At 44.7% G+C, this 21,287-nt stretch overlaps 1 protein-coding gene across 5 annotated transcripts in view, besides 6 other annotated features; it reads left to right on the plus strand.

Annotated features, from left to right (window-relative positions):
• Window positions 1-930: an enhancer, noted in NCBI's record as "OCT4-NANOG-H3K27ac hESC enhancer chr4:57773523-57774452 (GRCh37/hg19 assembly coordinates)". NCBI's record gives its function as "activates a minimal SCP1, AML or CMV promoter by ChIP-STARR-seq in naive and primed H9 embryonic stem cells {active_cell/tissue: H9 hESC(naive and primed)}" and the evidence as "EXISTENCE:reporter gene assay evidence [ECO:0000049][PMID:30033119]".
• Window positions 27-321: a silencer, noted in NCBI's record as "tiled region #6073; HepG2 Repressive non-DNase unmatched - State 4:PromP". NCBI's record gives its function as "represses a minimal TATA promoter and a strong SV40 promoter by Sharpr-MPRA in HepG2 cells {active_cell/tissue: HepG2}" and the evidence as "EXISTENCE:reporter gene assay evidence [ECO:0000049][PMID:27701403]".
• Window positions 421-810: a silencer, noted in NCBI's record as "silent region_15456". NCBI's record gives its function as "represses an Ori minimal core promoter by ATAC-STARR-seq in GM12878 lymphoblastoid cells {active_cell/tissue: GM12878}" and the evidence as "EXISTENCE:reporter gene assay evidence [ECO:0000049][PMID:35858748]".
• Window positions 544-21,287, plus strand: part of REST (RE1 silencing transcription factor) — a 27,945-nt gene continuing 7,201 nt past the window's right edge. Inside the window, exons 1-3 of one of the 5 annotated variants that reach the window (NM_005612.5) lie at window positions 544-857; window positions 3,274-4,180; window positions 12,431-12,514. In NM_005612.5, the coding sequence (NP_005603.3) occupies window positions 3,283-4,180; window positions 12,431-12,514 (982 nt within the window). In that variant the 5' untranslated portion in view covers window positions 544-857; window positions 3,274-3,282. Of the gene's footprint in view, window positions 858-1,553; window positions 2,232-3,273; window positions 4,181-12,430; window positions 12,515-21,287 lie in introns of those variants that run through there. The other 4 variants (NM_001363453.3, NM_001193508.2, NM_001440532.1 and 1 more) reach the window with 4 other exon arrangements.
• Window positions 921-1,770: a silencer, noted in NCBI's record as "silent region_15457". NCBI's record gives its function as "represses an Ori minimal core promoter by ATAC-STARR-seq in GM12878 lymphoblastoid cells {active_cell/tissue: GM12878}" and the evidence as "EXISTENCE:reporter gene assay evidence [ECO:0000049][PMID:35858748]".
• Window positions 1,861-2,790: an enhancer, noted in NCBI's record as "H3K27ac hESC enhancer chr4:57775383-57776312 (GRCh37/hg19 assembly coordinates)". NCBI's record gives its function as "activates a minimal SCP1, AML or CMV promoter by ChIP-STARR-seq in primed H9 embryonic stem cells {active_cell/tissue: H9 hESC(primed)}" and the evidence as "EXISTENCE:reporter gene assay evidence [ECO:0000049][PMID:30033119]".
• Window positions 7,412-7,912: an enhancer, noted in NCBI's record as "H3K4me1 hESC enhancer chr4:57780934-57781434 (GRCh37/hg19 assembly coordinates)". NCBI's record gives its function as "activates a minimal SCP1, AML or CMV promoter by ChIP-STARR-seq in naive H9 embryonic stem cells {active_cell/tissue: H9 hESC(naive)}" and the evidence as "EXISTENCE:reporter gene assay evidence [ECO:0000049][PMID:30033119]".

Genomic DNA, 21,287 nt, shown 5'->3' on the forward strand with positions numbered 1-21,287 from the left:
CAAACTGACTGCATTCCCCCTCCGGTAGTTTGAAATTTGGAAGACTTTTTTTTTTTTTTTTTTTTTTTACCGCAGACGCTTAAAACGAAGCTTAATTAGTCAAGGACAGCTATGGGTGGAGACTTGAAGAGATCTGAAGGGTATCTTGGAGCGCTTTAGACTTGAGAGGCCGGTGACAATAGCTCTAAAGAGACCCGTCAAAGCCTGCGGATTCTTCTTTTAACAGCTCTATTCTCATGCATGCACGCCAGGGCTGGGGGGAACTTTTGTTGTTTGTTTGTAATAGAAATCGAGAAAGGGAGTGGGGCCCGCCTCTTTTCTGACCTAAGGGCAGGAGTGAGGGGCCGGGAGGATTACGGGCGGCTCCCCCTAGACGCGCCCCCAGGCGAGCTGGAGACTGGGGCACTCCTTGCTTGGTAGAGGGGCGGGGCGCGCCTAGCGGCCACGCGCGCGGGCGTCGGAGGGGGCGTGTCTCGCGGGCGCGCGCGGGCGTCGGAGGGGGCGTGTCCCGCGGGCGGTGGCGGCGGCGGCGGCGCGGACTGGGTGCGCGGCGCAGCGTCCTGTGTTGGAATGTGCGGCTGCCGCGAGCTCGCGGCGCAGCAGCGGAGCGAGCGCCGCCGAGGCCCGGGGCCCCAGACCCTGGCGGCGGCTGCCGCAGCCGAGACGGCAGGGCGAGGCCCGGAGGCCTGAGCACCCTCTGCAGCCCCACTCCTGGGCCTTCTTGGTCCACGACGGCCCCAGCACCCAACTTTACCACCCTCCCCCACCTCTCCCCCGAAACTCCAGCAACAAAGAAAAGTAGTCGGAGAAGGAGCGGCGACTCAGGGTCGCCCGCCCCTCCTCACCGAGGAAGGCCGGTAAGTGGGGCGCTGGGCTGGGGGCTCGGTCAGGGTGGGGGAGGGCCGCCCGGGCGGCGGCAGTGGCGGGACGGGGAGGGCGCGGAAGGACGCGGAGTCAGGCGCTGTCCAGGGCTGATTTGCAGATACTGTGGCTCCGGCGGCGGCGGCCCCGCCGGGCGGGGGCTGGCGGCCGAGCAGGATCGGGTTACACAGCAGCCGCCCGGGGGCTGGGGGCGTTTGTTGGGAGCAGCGCGTCGCCTGGACCCCCTCCCCACTGGAGGCTGGGACGCCGCCTCCGCGCTGGCCCGGACGCTCCACCGAGTCAGGTCCTTTGAGGCCAAGGAGCGGAGCTGCTCGGGCCCGTAGTCCTGAAACTTCCTCTGCTTCCTCCTCCTGCCCCCGGGTCCCACCGCAGCCCCGCGCCGGCCCGCGGCCCTCCTGGCCCCCTCCCCCAGGGCCTCTCCCTGTCGCCGGAAGGCGCCGTTGAGTGCGGCCGGGCGGGTTGAGTCAGCCCCGGGGCCCGGGCGGTTCCGCCTGCGGGGCTGGACAGCGATTTCTGCGCTTCAGCCGTCCGGCGCCGCTGGCCCCCGCGTCCGGCCACCCGACCGCTGGAGCTGGCGGGGCTGGGGCGCGCGTCCTGCCGGGCGCCGTGGGGGAGTGAAGTTCGCAAACTTCCGGGGCGCGGGGGTGGCGGCTGGCCCGTGTGGGGGCCCCCTCCGGCGCTCGGAGCCCGACGCCTCGCGAGGGCGCCCGCGGAGCCTCCCCGGCCCTGGGCGTTGGGCGAGCCCCGGGGCGGTCGGAGGGGCCCGGGGGCGGTCGGAGAAGCCCGGACGCCGGCTGCGCGGTAACTTTCCGTCCTCTCCCGGGACGGGGGCCCTAGGGCTGGGGAGGGGGCTGCCTGGACTCGGGGAGGACTGGTTCCGGCCAAACAGCGCCTCGAGCTTGATCCCCTCCCCCGTTTTAGTGTTGGAGAGCGCAGGAAAAGGCTCAGGACGAGTGTCGGGGCGACTCCCGCGAGTTGGTGTGTAAATGTGTGCAGTGAGCGGGCCGAGGCGAGAGGAAGCGAGAGCGCCCGAGTTTGCAAAGAGCTGCTTTGTGTTTGGTATTTTGAGAAAATGGCCGAATGCCTATTTCAGTTAGGAATGCCGCCGCCGAGGCAGGCGCTGGTGGCAGCAGCACGGAGGAATTCGTGCAGCACGTTGGGCTTTCGGGCTGTGCCTGGACGGTCTTCCTAACAATCGTTAAAATTCCATTTGGGGTGGCAGTTAGGGGTTAGGGAGCAATTAGAAAAGTCGATGTTGGGCCAAATTACCCAATAGCTTGGGCTGTTCAGCCCCGGGACAGCCTTCGCCCTCTGTTTTCTGTGATGGCATTTGCTTCCAACTTTTGTTGGTACGTAGAACTAAACCGGTTTGTGTTTATACACTTGGGTGAAGCGGGTTACTTTTTGTATTTTCGGTTTAACTTTATTTTCTTAGAACTTCTTACTTTTTTTAATTTGCGAGTGAACACTTCGTTTGAGAATGGCACCTTTTAGATTGAGAAGTAACGTAGCATCTAGAAAGCCCAACTTGTTTTGAAGAAGGTGATCTTGTAATGGCTTCCACTAGGCAAGTAGGCCAAGTCAAGCACAATGCAAGAAAGTTGCTGATTGTCGAGTTGAGTTGCACGATGATTTTATTCGTATTGAAAAGCTTGGAATTCAGTGTTGTGGAACTTCAGCCTGCAGAAAAATAAGCTTATTAATTTTTATTTGTGAAGTTTTGAATAAATCAAACTTCCTTTTTCACAAGAAAAGGGGTCCATAAATGTTTTTTCTTTTAAGCCTGTGGAGTTGTCGAAAAATTAAGGGGCTGACTGCTACTTTTTCACAGTAGTTTATTCTTTTGGAGTTAGTTGAGTTCATGCGAAATCCAATTAAGTTGAACAATTATTACAGGCTTGTACTTTCCAGATGTGTTTGTGTACTTAATAAATGCACTGAATGGCTTGTGGATTTCTGGGCTTTCTGATTCAGACCATTGAACTGTTGAAGGGGGGAAAAGTTGGGAGGACAATAATTTACTACTCATGTTTTGAATTTTTAAAATAATTTTAACAGTAAAAATGAAGGTTACTTTTTATCCCCACCAGAACAATTAAAAGTGCTTGAGGAGGCACCACATGCCAGTGGCTGAATGATGAATGAGTTGTGCAAACAATTGGTAGAATTGTTTTATAGGGATAGTAGAAATTTTTTTTTGGTGATTGCAGTAGACTATTGGGAATTAACAACTATTTTAAAGATTTGTTTTTAATAGGCGATGAAGTTTACTGAGTTATAAAGATCATACTGGAAAATTTTTAAGTTATGAAGAATTACAGCGATGTGGTTTTAAGCCAGTAACAGTAGTGTTTAAACTGGTGCTCTTGTTTTGTTTTGTTTTTAATTCAGAATACAGTTATGGCCACCCAGGTAATGGGGCAGTCTTCTGGAGGAGGAGGGCTGTTTACCAGCAGTGGCAACATTGGAATGGCCCTGCCTAACGACATGTATGACTTGCATGACCTTTCCAAAGCTGAACTGGCCGCACCTCAGCTTATTATGCTGGCAAATGTGGCCTTAACTGGGGAAGTAAATGGCAGCTGCTGTGATTACCTGGTCGGTGAAGAAAGACAGATGGCAGAACTGATGCCGGTTGGGGATAACAACTTTTCAGATAGTGAAGAAGGAGAAGGACTTGAAGAGTCTGCTGATATAAAAGGTGAACCTCATGGACTGGAAAACATGGAACTGAGAAGTTTGGAACTCAGCGTCGTAGAACCTCAGCCTGTATTTGAGGCATCAGGTGCTCCAGATATTTACAGTTCAAATAAAGATCTTCCCCCTGAAACACCTGGAGCGGAGGACAAAGGCAAGAGCTCGAAGACCAAACCCTTTCGCTGTAAGCCATGCCAATATGAAGCAGAATCTGAAGAACAGTTTGTGCATCACATCAGAGTTCACAGTGCTAAGAAATTTTTTGTGGAAGAGAGTGCAGAGAAGCAGGCAAAAGCCAGGGAATCTGGCTCTTCCACTGCAGAAGAGGGAGATTTCTCCAAGGGCCCCATTCGCTGTGACCGCTGCGGCTACAATACTAATCGATATGATCACTATACAGCACACCTGAAACACCACACCAGAGCTGGGGATAATGAGCGAGTCTACAAGTGTATCATTTGCACATACACAACAGTGAGCGAGTATCACTGGAGGAAACATTTAAGAAACCATTTTCCAAGGAAAGTATACACATGTGGAAAATGCAACTATTTTTCAGACAGAAAAAACAATTATGTTCAGCATGTTAGAACTCATACAGGTAAGAGAAGCTTTCTAGTCCATAAGTTCAGTTCTCTTTTCTGATTGTTACTTGAGTGGTTAGTTAAGTAGTGCTTGAGAAAAAGGACTCTGGTTCAAATCCAGGTTCCATTTTGCTATCTTTGTGACCTTGCACAAGTTGTTTAACCTCTTTGTTCAGAAATTTCTCCATGGAGTAACAATATCTAGGTTGGGAGGATTATGTGAAGTTACATGTAAAGCACAGAGGAACAGCCAAGAGATCTTACCGTGGTCTTACTAAAGTACATATCCTAACTTGGGGTTTACCTTCAGCAAGTTAGACTGGCCGTGCATGGTGGCTCACGCCTGTAATCCCAGCACCTCGGGAGGCCGAGGCGTAAGGACTGCCTGAGCCCAGAAGTTCTAGACCAGTCTGGGAAACGTGGAAAGACCCCCGTCTCAAAAAGAAAACAGAAAAAAAAAAGTTTGTGTATTTATTTCTGTGACAGTGAACACATTTAAGATGCAGTGTAGTTTCTGAAAGAAATTGAGGGCTTATATAAAAAGGAAAACTCAGTGATTAACCTTGCACATGCCCACTTAACAAAAGCCTCAAACTTTAAAACATTTGACTTATAGCATTGAGTTCCTAAATGGAACAACTTGTCTTTGTCCACAAAAAAGAAATGTGAGAAGGTAGTTTTTAAAAGGTGGGTGGGATTATCACCAATTGAAACTATTTTCCTATGAAAGCAAACACTTGTAGAAAATGTATTTTTCAGACAATTATGTTTAGGGTGTTTGAACTGATACTAAGCGCAACTGTATAAAAAAAGTTGAAACTTTTTTTTTTTTTTTTTTTTTGAGACAGTCTGGCTTTGTCGCCCAGGCTGGAGTGCAGTGGCAAGATCTCAGCTCAGTGTAACCTCTGCCTCAGGGTTCAAGTGATTATCTTGCTTCAGCCTCCCTGGCTCAGCCTCCCGAGTAGCTGGGATTACAGGCACCCACCACCGTGCCTGGCTAATTTTTTTTTTTTGAGACGGAGTCTGGCTCTGTTGTCGAGGCTGGAGTGCAGTGGCATGGTCTTGGCTCACTGCAACCTCTGTCTCCCAGGTTCAAGCAGTTCTCCTGCCTCAGCCTCCTGAGTGGCTGGGACTATAGGTGCCCACCACCACACCCAGCTGATTTTGTATTTTTAGTAGAGATGGGGTTTCACCATGTTGCCCAGGCTGGTCTTGAACTCCTGACCTCGTGATCCGCCCACCTCAGCCTCCCAGAATGCTGGGATTACAGGCGTGAGTGCCACCCCTGGCTAATTTTTGTATTTTTAGTAGAGATGGGGTTTTGCCATATTGGCCAGGCTGGTCTCAAACTCCTGACCTCAGGTGATCTACCCACTTTGGCCTCCTAAATTGCTGGGATTATAGGGGTGGGCTACCGCACCCAGCCGAAACTTTTTTTTTTTTTTTAATTTCTTTTTGTGGAGATGGGGGGTCTCACTATGTTGCCCAGGCTGGTCTTGAACACCTGGCCTCAAGTGATCCTCCTGCCACAGTCTTCCCAAGTGTTGGGATTATAGGCGTGAGCCACTGTGCATACTAGTCATTCACTTTTAAATTGGGTTTTATTCAGCTGCTGTTCACTGTAGTTTTTTTAATTGGATTTATTTATTCATTTATTGATTTATTTGAGATGGAGTCTCACCCTGGAGCCCAGGCAGTGGTGTGATCACAGCTCACCACAGCCTCTACCTCCTGGGTTCAGGCAGTCCTCCCATCTCAACCTCCAAAGTAACTGGGACTACAGATGTGCCCTACCACACCCTAATTTTTTAAAATTTAAATTGGGTTTTAAATATTGTAATTGAGGGGCCTCATTTTTCAAATAAATGTTTTTAACTATTGGTAGCTCATTTGGACATTTCTGTTACATTTTCTTGGTAAGAATTGGTACATTTGGGTCCTGATGAATGGATAGAGAATAATCCAGTACTCTACTCTTGGGGTCACAAATGAATAGGGGGTGTGGGATGCTGTTTGCCTCAGGTCTCCTCTTACAGGAGTTGGCACTTGACAGGACTGAACCCCACTGGTAAAGGGGACACTGAGGAGGGGAATTGATGCTGCTTTAAGTGGAGTGGTAGACTTAATTTTTGTTTTGTTTTGTTTTGGAGATAGGATCTCCCTCTGTGCCCCAGGCTGGAGTGCAGTGACGCGATCTCGGCTCACTACAACCTCCACCTCCCAGGTTCAAGCGATTCTCATGCCTCAGCCTCCCCAGTAGCTGGGATTATAGGTGCCCACCACCATGGCTAGCTAATTTTTTGTTTTTTTAGTAGAGATGGGGTTTCACTATGTTGGCCAGGCTAGTCTCGAACTCCTGACCTCGTGATCTGCCTCGGCCTCCCAAAGTGCTGGGATTACAGGCGTGAGCCACCGCGCCTGGCCAGTTTTTTTTTTGAGATAGTTTTACTTTGTCACCCATCCTGGAGTGCAGTGGCGAGATCACTGCTCACTGCAGCCTTGACCTCCTGGACTTGTGACCCTCTCGCCTCAGTCCCCCAGGTAGCTGGGACCACAGACGCATGCCACCACACCTGGCTGATATTTGTATGGTAGAGACAGGGTTTCGCCATGTTGCCCAGATTGGTCTGTAACTCCTGAGCTCAAGTAATCTGCCCTTAGCCTCCCAAAGTGCTGGGATTATGGGTGTGAGCCACCGTATCCAGCGACTTAATTTTTAAAAATTTATTTTATTTACTTATTTTTTATATCCCAGATACTTAAAACTATTAACTGGCAGGCTTAAACAATAAAACTTGCAGGTGAAATTCCATTACAAGAGTGACCTCTGTTACAGGATTGCTAAGCCCCAGCAGATGGATGGCTCATGTGTTGAATGCTTTAAAATTTAGTCCAGTAAAAGAATTTGTAGTCCCTTTGGAATTTGTCATAAGCTGTGATTGATTGTCTCGATGCTTTGAAACCATTCGATTTCAGAAGTAAAGGTCAAGCATTACAAAAATACATAAAGTAGGAAATGAAAGTTACTTGGGGACACAACCCCATTAATCACTTGACAGTTTGAATTAGACAGACTGTTAGACTAAACCAGCCTTACCTACAATATCTTAAATCCCAGCCATCATATATACTAAACTCATAAATAAGTACACCATATTCATTTAGCTGGGATTACAGGTGCCTTCCACCATGCCCGGCTAATTTTTGTATTTTCAGTAGAGATGTGGTTTCACCGTGTTGGCCAGGCTAGTCTTGAACTCCTGACCTCAGGTCGTCTGCCCACCTCAGCCTCCTGAAGTGCTGGGATTACAGGCCTGAGCCACCAAGCCTGGCCTGGTTTATTTGGTCTTAATGCTTATTTTTCCCCAGTATTACCTTCATTCTGATTTTTTTTTTTTTTAACTTTTTTTTTTTTTTTTTTTTTGAGACAGTTTTACTCTTGTCGCCCAGGGTGGAGTGCAATGGTGCAATCTCGGCTCACTGCAACCTCCGCCTCCCAGGTACAAGCAATTATCCTGCCTCAGCCTCCTGAGTAGCTGGGATTCCAGGCATGCGCCACCACACCTGCTAATTTTGTATTTTTAGTAGAGACAAGGTTTCTCCATGTTGGGCAGGCTGGTCTCGAACTCCCGGCCTCAAGTGATCCACCCGCCGCGGCCTCCCAAAGATTACAGGCGTGAGCCACCACGCCTGGCCAATTTTGTGTGTGTGTGTGTGTGTATTTTTTTTTTTTTTTTTTTTTTTGAGATGGAGTCTTGCTCTGTTGCTCAGGCTGGAGTGCAATGGCGTGATCTCTGTTCACTGCAACCTCTGCCTCCAGGGCTTAAGTGATTCTCCTGCCTCAGCCTCCCGAGGAGCTGGGATTACAGGTGCGTGCCACCACGCCCAGCTAATTTTTTAAAAAATTTTTAGTAGAGACAGCGTTTCACCATGTTGGCCAGGCTGGTCTCGACCTCCTGACCTTGTGATCAGCTGACCTCGGCCTCTCAAGGTGCTGGAATTACAAGCGTGAGCCACCAAACCTGGCCTTTATTACATTTTAAAACAATTTGGTGATGTATAGATTGAAGGTTAATATTTTGATTATGTAAATTCTGAAAGTATCTCTGGTATTAAATGGATAGTTCTGAAAATTATGGAAAATAAACTCATCTGGTGCGGAAGAGTAGAGACAGAAAAGACAGGAATCACTTAAATTGATAGTGTTCAGGAATTACTTCTCATTTCCACTTGCATTAGTAAGTAGCCCAGTTTTCTGATTGGCTTAGTGGGCTTAATTGTGTTTCTTGTGCCCTTCTATTCTGTGCTAATCTTCAGAACAATCCATTGAGGAAAATAGCATCTGTGATGATAGTTCATGTTTACACAGGGGAAAACTTCAGATTTAAAAGGCTGAAGTGATGTTCCCAAGGTCATATACAAGTATCATTTATAGCCGTTCCACGATGGCTCACGCCTGTAATCCTAGCACTTTGGGAGGATGAGGCAGGAGAATCGCTTGAACCTGGGAGGTGGAGGTTGCAGTGAGTCGAGATTGTGCAACTGCACTCCAGCCTGGGGGACAGAGTGAGACTCTGTCTCAAAAACAAACTACAAGTAGCATTTAAAGTTCAGCAATCTCGACTCACTGCAACCTCCACCAAAAGGGTGGGGGGAGCTGGGGACTTTCATTCTGGTTGACCTCTTTAGTTTAGTGGTTTTGATATTTAACTTGTTCACAAAATCTACTTTTAAAGAAAACCTTTTTGCCTGTATGTGTAACTGAAAAATCAGTAGGTAACTAAGCTTTCTGGAGGAGAGTTATGCCTAGTTTGTGGAATTACACAGATAAAGTAATCTGTTGTAAAGAATTTAAAAGCAGGCTGGGCGAGATGGCTCATGCCTGTAATCCCAGCACCTTGGGAGGCAGGCAGATCACCTGAGGTTGGGAGTTTGAGACCAGCCTGGTCAGCATGGTGAAACCCTGTCTCTACTAAAAATACAACACTTAGCCTGTAGTCCCAGCTTCTCGGGAGGCTGAGGCAGGAGAATCACTTGAACCCAAGAGGCAGAGGTTGCAGTGAGCCAAAATCGCGCCACTGCACTCCAGCCTGGGCGACAGAGCGAGACTGCGTCTCAAAAAAAAATAATAATAAAATAAAAGAATTTAAAAGTAAATTATCTTTGATTCTTCAAGTTTATCTGCAGTGGTATTTAATTTTTTATTGAGATACAGTTTACATATGCAGTTCACTATATATTGGCCTGTTCTGAATATTTCACACAAGTGGAATCATAATAAGCAGTCTGAATAATGCTGCTATGAATATTCATGTTTAAGTTTTGTGTGGACGTATGTTTTTGTTTCTTTTGGATATATACCTAAGCGTGAGATTGTGGGGCAGTATAGTAGCAACATTTTGGGTAATTGCCAAACTGTTTTCCAAATTAGCCATGCCATTTTACAATCCCACCAGCAATGTGTGAGGGTTCCAATTTCAGCACATCCTTAGCAATAATACTGTTAACATCTGTCTTTGTGATTACAGCTATCTTAGTGGATATGAAGTCTTCATCTCCTTGTGGTTTTGATTTGCATTTCCCTCACTGCTAATGATAATGTTCATCTTTTCATGTGTTTATTGGCTATTTGTAAATCTTTTTTTTACAGAATTCCATTAACATAAAACTATCTTAATTGTTCCAGGTCATAAGGTAGGCATTCTGTTGCTACCAACTCTTTACAGCTAATTCGTAGCTACCAGCGAATTACAGCAGAATAGTTATGAGGAACACATTTCCCATCTATCACCATTCTTTTTGTTGTTGTTTGTTTTTTGTTTTAAGACAGGGTCTCGCTCTGTTGCCCTGTGTGGAGTGCAGTGGTGTGGTCACGGCTCACTGAAGCCTCGGCCTTCTGGGCTCAAATGATCCGCCTACCTCCCAAAGTGCTGGGATTACAGGCATGAGCCACCATGCCTGGCCTGTTCTTTTTTCTGTGTACCACCTTTTCCTTATTTTATTAGACACATTTGTTTCTGTCTTAGACAAAATTGATAGCTTACATTTATTGAGGGCTTTACTATGTGCCAGACACAGTGTTAAATGCTCTGCATGTATTATTTAAGCTTTTGCAATTACAGGAAATGAAGATTCTGTTACTTTTACAGATGGGGAAACGGTGTTTTAGTAGCTTTACCAAGGTCATAATTATCTTGTGTTTGGAGACTATATTAAAACAAATTGTATACCTTTTTTTAAAAGCTTGTTTTGCCGGGTGTGGCGGCTCATGCCTGTAATCCCAGCACTTTGGGAGGCCGAGGTGAGTGGATCACGAGGTCAGGAGATCGAGACCATCCTGGCTAACAAGGTGAAACCCCGTCTCTGCTAAAAATACCAAAAAATTAGCCGGGCATGGTGGCGGGCGCCTGTAGTCCCAGCTACTCAGGAGGCTGAGGCAGGAGAATGGTGTGAACCCAGGAGGCATAGCTTGCAGTGAGCCGAGATCTCACCAGTGCACTCCAGCATGGGCAACAGAGTGAGACTCCGTCTCAAAAAAAAAAAAAAAAAGGCTTGTTTTGTTGTTGACAGCCATGTCTAAAAAGAATATACGTTTCCTACCTTTGAGTCTTAAATTCTTCAGTATTAAATCACTGGCCTCTAGTCTTCAGTCCCTGTGGCTTTTATAATTTGTTTTAAAAATTGATGACTGGTTGGGCATGGTGGCTCATGCCCGTAATCCCAGCACTTTGGGAGGCCAATATAGGCGGATTGCTTGAGCCCAGAAGTTCGAGACCAGTCTGGGCAACATGGCAAAACCTGGTCTCTACCCAAAAAAAAAAAAAATTAGCTGGGCTTGGTGGCACACGCCTATGGTCCCAGCTACTTAGGAGGCTGAAGTGGGAGGATCTGTTGAGCCCGGGAGGTCCAGGCTGCAGAAGCTACGTTCATGCCACCACACTCCAGTCTGGGCAACAGAGCGAGACCCTGTCTCATAAAAAACAATAAAAAGAAAATTGATGACCTTCTCTTAAATTTTTCTTTTTAGCTTAATGTTTTTTATTTATTTTTATTTTTAGAGACAGGCTCTCTCTCTGTACTCCAGGCTGGAGTATAGTGGTGCCGTCATAGCTCATTGCAGCCTCAAACTCTGGGCTCAAGTGATCCTCCCGCGTCAGCCTCCCAAGTGAGACTACAGGGTCTCACTTTCACCCAGGCTGGAGCACGGTGGTACAATCATGGCTCACACCAGCCTCATCCTTCTTGGGCTCAAGCAATCCTCCCATCTCAGCCTCCCAAGTAGCTGGGACCACAGGCATGCGCCACCACGCCTGGCTAATTTTTCTGTTTTTTGTAGAGAGGAGGTCTTGCTATGTTGCCCAGGCTAGTCTTGAACTCCTGGGCTCAAATGATTGGCCTGTCTTGGCCTCCCAAAGTGTTGGGGTTACAGTCAGGGGCCACAATCCCCATGCTCAGCCCAGGCTATTTTTTTTTTTTTTTTAAACGAGATGAAGTCTCACTCAGCCTCCCGAGTAGCTGGGACAACAGGCACGTACCACCATGCCCGGCTAATTTTTTTTGTATTTTTAGCAGAGATGGGGTTTAATTATGTTGGCCAGGCTGGTCTTGAACTCCTTACCTCGTGATCTACCAGCCTCAGCCTCCCAAAGTGCTGGGATTTCAGGCGTGGGCCACCGTGCCCAGCCCCAGGCTAGTTTTTAAAATAAAATTTTAGAAATGAGGTATTGCTGTGTTGCCCAGGCTGGTCTGGAACTCTACCACTTGAAAATTTTTAGCATAAAGCAATTACATTCTCACTCAGAAGTATTGTTTTAAGCTAACACTTTCAAATGGTAGTAGATTCATCATTTACAAGTTAAAAAAAAAACCTAAAAACCGGTGTTAATAGCATCAGACAGTTCAGGTAGATTTTTTAAAAGGTGATTCTTAATATAACAAAAATGCTTTGTACCTTATCAAGATAGTTTTTTACTTATCACTACTTAATGTATTAACATGCAGTATCACTGTGAAAATTAAAAGGGCTGTGAGAATTCGGAAAGTCAATGTTGTTTTCTTGTCAGCAAAGCCAAAATAATGTAGTCATAGTTTCTGAAATAAATAACTTACATTTTAAGTACATGATAAATTGATCTTTTTGCCAGAAATAGGAAAAAAAAATTCTTGTTAAAATGTGCTGAGCGCTGAACATTGTTGCATTGTTAGTGAGAATTGTATTTGGCTATTTCGTGACATTTAAACACTCTTATATTATTGAAATTTTGCAGGAGAACGCCCATATAAATGTGAACTTTGTCCTTACTCAAGTTCTCAGAAGACTCATCTAACTAGACATATGCGTACTCATTCAGGTTGGTAAGAAATTGGAACTTTTCTATCATTTTCAGTAAATGACCATTTTAAGGAAATTCTTTTAGACTTGTAACCGAGTCATTTACTTATTATTTATTTTTAATATAATTTAGAAGTCAGAATTTAAAAATCAGTATTCCGTCAATCTGGGGATTCCTAACATGGAATCCAAAGGTGGACCTCCTGAAAATGGAATTTTTGTGTACACTTTTTCTGGGAGGAGGGGCCTTAATTCTCATCAAATCTTTGAAGCGTTCCGTGACTCCAACAAAAGTTAAACTAATGTAGACCAAGACTGATTGATCTTTTAACCCCTACTTCTCATATTTCTCCTAACAGTATAAAGCTGAGAGTCACAACGTGTGGTTGACAAGTGTCAGGGATTCCTTCTTAGCTTCTCAGGTCCTGAAATGAAGGTTTGTTCTGTTTCAAGGTTTGGTCGAGCTTTTGAGGACTGACTGCAAAAGTTTAGCTTGAAAAAGAAAATGATAGACAATCTAGGATGCCAATTTATTAAGCTGTATTAAGAGTATAGGACTGTAACATGAGAGATTCGTCCACTCCAGTGACTGAAACAATCACCATCACCACTCATAATTAGTCCCTGTTGGCCAGCATGGTGGCTCACGCCCTTAATCCCAGCACTTTGGGAGGCCAAGGTGGGCGGATCACCTGAGGCGGGGTAGTTTGAGACTAGCCTGACCAACATGGAGAAATCCTGTCTCTACTAAAAATACAAAATTAGCCAGGCGTGGTGGCGCATGCCTGTAATCCCAGCTGCTCAGTAGGCTGAGGCAAGAGAATTGCTTGAACTTTAGGAGGCAGAGGTTGTAAGCCGAGATCACGCCATCAAGAGCGAAACTCTATCTTGAAAAAAAAGTCCCTATTGTCAAAGTATTCAAGTGGCCAAGTTAAAAAGTAATGTTAGCATTGGTGGTCTTGCTTGAATGGGTAGCCCTGATTGACTCTTGGTGAACTACCACTTTTACTTTTTATTTTTATATTTTTTTTGGAGACGGAGTCTTGCTCTGTCGTCTAGGCTGGAGTGCAGTAGTGCGATCTCAGCTCACCGCAACCTCCGCTTCCCAGGTTCAAGCGATTCTCCTGCCTCAGCCTCCTGAATAGCTGGGATTACAGGCGCGCACCACCATGCCCGGCTGATTCTTGTATTTTTAGTAGAGATGGGGTTTCACCATGTTGGTCAGGCTGGTCTCGAACTCCTGACCTCATGATCCACCCACTTTGGCCTCCCAAAGTACTGGGATTACAGTCATGAGCCACCATGCCTGGCCGAACTACCACTTCTAATTAGAATACAGATTTAGAATGTATATCCCTGTGGGAAAAGTATCTTAAATCTTGCTGTTACAAAAGCCTATGTAGAACCATCTCCCTTAAGTTAATAATTAGCTTAGATCTGTGCTATTCGCTTGAGTAGCCACTAGCCACATGTGGCTATTAAGCTTTCGAAACATTAGTAGTTTGAATTGATACTTATAAAATATGTACTTACCAGATTTTTTAAATTTTATTTTATTATTATTTTTTTTCTGTTGAGACAGAGTCTTGCTGTATCCCCCAGGCTGGAGTGCAGTGGCGCGCATCTCAGCTCACTGCAACCTCTGCCTCCGGGGTTCAAGCAATTCTCATGCCTCAGCCTCCCCAGTAGCTGGGATTACAGGCATGTGCCACCATACCCAGCTAATTTTTGTAATTTTAGTAGAGATGGGGTTTCGCCATGTTGGTCAGCTTGGTCTCGAACTCCTGGCCTAAAGTGGTCTGCGCATCTTGGCCTCCCAAAGTGCTGGGATTACAGGTGTGAGCCACCGCGCCCGGCCACAGATTTCAAACAATGTGAAGAAAAGACTATCTTTCTCTGAAGCAGGTTAGAGAAAAAATAAAAGAATGTTAAATATTTATTTTTCAAGTTGATCATATGGCAAAATTATTGTATACATTGGCTTTAAAAAGTAATAAAATTAATTTTAACTGTTTCCTTTTTACCTTTGTGGTATGACTACTAGAAAATTTAAGATTACATGTGTGATATGCATTATATTTCTACTGGACATTGCTGCCATGAGTTAGTAACAAGACTTGATAATAAGACTTGATTATGTCACAGATTCTGATTTATTTGAACAGCTATGAAGGTGTCCTGTAGTATAGTTGCTAGCCTTTCTTGACCCTACGTGCTTGTCACGCTAATGTACTTTGAGTGTTTTTTTCCTAAATCTAAGCCATTGAGTGGTGCCACTTAACCAGAAACCTGGTTTTATTATTTTTGGGTGTTTTTTGGTTTCATTCTCTGATGGTAATGTGGATGCAATTTCAGACTTTGGAGGTAAGCATCATGTCCTGTTGATAGTTGTACTAGCTTTTTAGTAAAATATTTGAGAGCTTTGTATTATTATTATTATTATTATTATTATTATTATTATTACTTTTTTTTTTTTTCTGAGATGGAGTTTCGCTCTTGTTGCCCAGGCTGGAATAAAATGGTGTGATCGCAGCTCACTGCAACCTCCGTCTCCCAGGTTCAAGCGATTCTCCTGCCTCAACCTCCCAAGTAGCTGGGATTACAGGCATGTGCCACCACACCCAGCTAATTTTGTATTTTTAGTAGAGATGAGGTTTCACCATGTTGACCAGCCTGGTCTCGAACTCCTGATGTCAGGTGATCCGCCTGCCTCAGCCTCCCAACGTGCTGGGATTACAGGCGTGAGCCACTGCTCCCGGCCAAGAGCTTTATATTAGTTAACTAGTTTTTGTCTTCATAAATATTTTATGTTGCATGAGTTCTATTATCCCCATTTTACAGTTGGGGAATGTAGGGCATTGAAAAAAATACGACCTTTTTTCCTGTAGAATGTCCTTCCTTCTGGATATGTCCACTTGTTTTCTCATGGTGTCATTTAGCTTTTCTTCTGTCCTTTGTATTGTAAACTGGAAATTAAATTTAAATGCTTGATAATCTTTCTCGCAAATGATATGCCTCATTTAAAGTCACGTGGTTGACCCATTAATATAATGTTAGGTCACTGCATTTAGAATGACTACATACTTTTATCCTTTCGTTCAATTAGTAATACTTTGTCTTGTCACTGTTTAAATGTTTATGGTGTTTTACACCAGTTGATAATCTTTGACTGAAACAGTTGTATTTGGGTTTGCAAAATGTTTTGAGTTTTGCCTGCTGTATTTTAAAGATGATTTTTAGTATTTGCTGTTACAGTATAGCAAGTATTTTAATGGTGTCTTAAAAACTAGTAGTAGCCACTAGCTATTGTATGTATGCTGAATAGTAAAAACAAGTATTTGCTGTCTCCAGTCTTAGTACTACGAAGATACTGAGTTTCAGATTACATATTATAGGATACAAGCTCACAAATAAGTAATTTTGTTGTTGTTGTTTTTGGAGTTGGGGACTCTGCTGCGCAGGCTGGAATGCAGTGATGCGATCATGCCTCACTGCAACTTCATATGCCTAGGCTCAAGCCATCCTCTTGCCTCAGTCTCCTGAGTCGCTAGGTCTACTGGCACATGCCACCACTCCAGCTAATTGGGGACTATTATTATTATTATTATTTTTGAGACAGTTTCGCTCTTGTCACCCAGCTAGAGTACAATGGTGCGATCTCGGCTCACTGCAACTTCTACCTCCCGGGTTCAAGCTATAGAATCTTCCTCAGCCTCCTGTGTAGCTGAAATTACAGGCACCCGCCACCATGCCTGGCTGATTTTTGTATTTTTAGTAGAGGTGTTGATCCACCCACCTCAGCCTCCCAAAGTGCTGGAATTACAGGCATGAGTCACCGCGCCTGGCTGGAACTATTATTTTTATTTAAATATCGTATTTATTTATTTATTGAGACTGAGTCTTGCTGTCGCCCAGGCTGGAGTGCAATGGTGCGACCTCGGCTCACTGCAACCTCCACCTCCTAGGTTCAAGCGATTCTCCTGCCTCAGCCTCCCTAGTATCTGGGACTACAGGCTCGTGCCACCATGCCAGGCTAATTTTTTGTATTTTTAGTAGAGACGGGGTTTCACCATGTTAGCCAGGATAGTCTTGATCTCCTGACCTCATGATCTGCCCGCCTCAGCCTCCCAAAGTGCTGGGATTACAGGCGTGAGCCACCACACCCGGCCAATATCCTATTTCTTTCTATGGAGACTGGGTCTTGCTGTGTTGCCCAGGCTGGCCTCAAACTCCTGGCCTCAAGCAGTTCTCTTGTCTCAGCCTCCCAAAGTGTTGGGATTACAGGTTTGAGTCACTGTGCCCAGACAGACATGTTTTATTTTTTTCTGTTGATAACGTTGGTGCCAAGGGACTTTTAAATAGCTGGGATTGTTTGAAAGATATTGTGATGGCTTGAGAGTCTTTGTAGAATAAATTTTAAAAACTATTTTATTGAGATATAATTTATAAATTTAAAAATGCACAGGTCTTGAGTGTACAGCTCAGTGACTATGCTTTCACCTATTTGATTATCACTCAAGAACAAGAGATGGAATATTTCTGCTCAGAAACACCTTGCCCTTTCCACCCAGTCTTTCCCCTGGATGATATTCTGTCTCCTACCAAAGAACATTATAGAATTTGTTTGTTTGAGGTGGGATCTCACTCTGTCACTCAGGGTGGAGTGCAGTGGGTGCAGTTACAGCTGTCTAAACCTCTTGGGCTCAGGCAGTCCTGCCACCTTAACCTCCCAAGTAGCTGGGACCACAGGTGTGCGCTACCATGCCTGTTTTTTTTTTTTCTTTCTTTTTTGTAGAGATGGAGTCTTACTATGTTGGCCCAGGCTGGTTTTGAACTCCTGGGCTCAAGCGATCCACTTGCCTCACCCTACCAAAGTGCTAGGAGTACAGGCATGAGCCACTGCACCTAGTTTTAGAACATTCTTTTATAAAATGTTCTTGAGATTTATCCATGTTGCGTTATTGGACTTCATTTTATTGCTGGTAATGTATTGTATGCCGCCATTACTTTTTACTTAAAAATTTTCTTTGCCGGCTATGCACGGTTGTTCACACCTGTAATCCTAGCGCTTTGGGAAACCATGGTGAGCGGATCATCGGAGGTCAGAAGTTCAAGACCAGGCTGGCCAACATGGTGGTACCCCATCTCTGCTAAAATACAAAAATTAGCCTGGCATGATGGCGGGTGCCTGTAATCCCAGCTACTCCGGAGGCTGAGACAGGAGAATCACTTGAACCCGGGAGACGGTGGTTGCAGTGAGCCGAGATTGCGCCATTGCACTCCAGCCTGGGCAGCTGAGCGAGACTCAGTCTCAAAAAAAAAAAAAAAAAAAATTTCTTTGCCATTCTCTCTTGGTTTTTGTTTTGTTTTGTTTTTATTTTTAAGGGAATTAATTTAAAAACTTAAATTGAGAGGCTTGTATTTGTGTATTTTTCACTGCGGCTTTAACCTCCTAGGCTCAAACGATCCTCCCACCTCAGCCTCTGGAGTAGGTGGCACTGTAGGCTTGTGCTATAACATGTGGCTAATTTAAAAATTTTTTTGTACACAGGGTCTCACTAGGTTGCCCAGACTGGTCTCAACCTCCTTAGCTCAAGCAATCTTCCTCACCTCATCCTCCCAAAAGTGCTAGGATTACGGGTGTGAACCACTATGCCTGGCCATTCTTCTAAGAATATTTTTGATACGTATGTGTAAAGCTTGCAGAACTCTTTCCCCTTTTGTCTTGGCTTACACCTATAAATTCATTTCGGAGGCATAAAACAGACAATTGGTAGATTTATAAAGAAGAGAACCTGTTACTAGAATTGGGAAAAAGAATTTAAAATTGTTTGTACAGGGCAAAAGTTAATATTCAGGTAGGTACTAATTAGAAAATCTTGATGAATATATTTTAATATAAGCAAGACTTCATGGCAATAAAGTAAAAATTACGGGAGAAAAAGAACGGAGCAAATAAATCATGCCATCAAATTTTAAACAGAAAATTTCTACATCCTCCCTTTCCGTTCACCATTCCTTAGGTGGACCCTCGCACCTTGATGGATGCATGCTTGCTCTATAGATCTCCTTATTCATCAGAGTTATAAAATGGTGCTATTTTAATTATAGTTATTTTATTAGTGTGTAAATATGAAGAGAAGAGATAAATTCCACTTATCTATTTACTCATGATGTAGGAAAGACAGGATACGTAAGAGTCTTCCCCTTGATTGATCGATTGATTGAGATGGAGTCTCACCCTGTCGTCCAGGCTGGAGTGCAATGGCACGATTTCAGCTCACTGTAACCTCCGCCTCCTGGGTTCAAGTGATTCTCCTGCCTCAGCCTCCCGAGTAGCTGGGATTACAGGCATGCACCACCACGCCTGGCTAAGTTTTTGTATCTTTAGTAGAGATGGGGTTTCACCATATTGGCCAGACTGGTCTCCGGCTCCTGGTCTCCAACTCCTGACCTCTTGATTCGCCTGCCTCGGCTTCCCAAAGTGCTGGGATTACAGGCGTGAGCCACTGCGCCCAGCCTTTTTTATTTATTTATTTTTTTGAGATGGAGTCTTGCTCTGTTGCCCAGGCTGGAGTGCAGTAGTGCGATCTCGGCTCACTGCACCCTCTGCCTCCCGGGTTCAAGGGATTCTCCTGCCTCAGCCTCCCAAGTAGCTGGGACTGTAGGCACGCATCACCACGCCTAGCTAATTTTTTTGTATTTTTACAAAATGCCTCCCCAAATTTTATATTTTTACAAAAATGCCTCCCAAAGTTTTGGGACTACAGGCGTGACCCACCGCGCCCTGCTGAGTCTTCCCTTTTATTTATCCATACTCAAAGTTACCAATTGGTTCCAAAAGTGAACAATTATAGGTAACACATTTTGAGTTCTTGCTGTCTGCTCCATGTTAAGGACTTTACATAGATTAGATTATTTATAGCTCACAACACTTAGAGAGTATTTTATAGATGAAATTGAGGCCGGGCGCGGTGGCTCACGCCTGTAATCCCAGCACTTTGGGAGGCCGAGGAGGGTGGATCACCTGAGATCAGGAGTTCGAGACCAGCCTGATCAACATGGAGAAATGCCGTCTCTACTAAAAATACAAAATTAGCCAGGCTTAGTGGCACATGCCTGTAATCCCAGCTACTAGGGAAGGTGAGGCAGGAGAATCGCTTGAACCTGGGAGGCGGGGGTTGCAGTGAGCCGAGATCGCGCCATTGCACTCCAGACTGGGCAACAAGAGTGAAACTCCATCTCAAGAAAAAAAAAAAAGAAAGAAATTGAACTCTAGAGAGGTTTCAGGACTTTGCTCAAAGTCTCAGAGTGAGCAACTTGCAGAGCTCATGTTTTATCTCCCAGATGGTCTAGCTCTATCTAGAAGTTCTTAGGCCTTATGCTACCTATCTTTCTACATTCTATGTCCACGTATGTTAAAATGTTTGTCTCCATTTAAATCATTCACTGGAGAGAACCAGGTATAGAGTAATGTAGCATGTTGTAGAAACTTGCATATTTGTAAATCTGTTAGTAGACCAACATGGAGAAGAATTGTCCAGTCAGCTGAATATCTAATTTGACTACCTGGATAAGGTGATTATTTTATCACCAGGCATTTTCTAATCATGTAAAACTTAACATCTACATGGTTTTACCTAATGTCTGAGTTTTGCTTTATGAAAATTTTTAGTACAATTTGATATGAATTTGAGAATGTTTGAGATGAATTTTCATAAATGTCAATTTCCGTTTTTCTACTATGCATTCCATTGGACCAGTGGGGTATGGATACCATTTGGTAATATTTACTAGAGTGTGATCTAGATGGGTATGTATTCAGGTAGAATGTATTACTCTTATGCCTTTAATTTGGGGGTGGGGGTTCTGGTTTTTTATGTATCAGTGATTGTGACTTTGCTTATTTTACATACCATATCTATTTGTGTGCCACTTCTCATTACCTAGTTCCTTTATGTATTTTATAGAAAGGTGGGGGGAAAATCAAGAAAGTTTTCTGAATAATTACCTTGGCCTATATTTTTGCTTTAAAATAGCAATGCTAGCGCAGGAAGTTTGCTAAGTGAAAATTTACTCAGCTCTTGCCATGACGGACAGAAGGATTAAATTTCAAGAAAAAGCCTTTGCTCAGACTAAAGCAGAATTTCAAAACTTTTGCACCTAGGATCTGGGAGTATCGCCCAGAGTGAAAGATATTTTTCTCAAGATTTACCATAAGAAATTTAGGGTGGAGGGAGTATGGGAATTTTATTTTATTTTTATTTATTTTTGAGACGAAGTTTCGCTCTTGTCGCCCAGGCTGTAGTGCAGTGGTGCGATCTTGGCTCACTGTAATCTTGCCTTCTGGGTCCAAGCAATTCTCCTTCTTCAGCCTCCTGAGTAGCTGGGATTACAGGCATCTGCCACTACACCCGGCTAATTTTTTGTATTTTTAGTAGAAACAGGGTTTCACCATGTTGGCCAGGCTGGTCTTGAACTCCTGACCTCAGGTGATCCACTGCCTTCGCCTCCCAAAGTGCTGGGATTACAGGTGTGAGCCACCACACCTGGCTGGGAATTTTATTTATTGATGTATTTTTGAGACAGGGCCTTGCCCTGTTGCCCAGGTTGGAGTACAGTAACACATTCACAACTCCATGCTACTTCAGATTCCTGGGCTTAAGTGGTCCTCCCGCCTTTGCCTCCCAAGTAGCTGGGACTGCAGGTGCACTCCACCATGCCTGGCTAATTTTTTTTTTTTTTTCTTTTTGTGAGACAAAGTCTTACTGTCGCCCAGGCTGAAGTGAAGT

Source organism: Homo sapiens, chromosome 4 (assembly GCF_000001405.40).
Source record: "Homo sapiens chromosome 4, GRCh38.p14 Primary Assembly".
Classification (NCBI taxonomy): domain Eukaryota; kingdom Metazoa; phylum Chordata; class Mammalia; order Primates; family Hominidae; genus Homo; species Homo sapiens.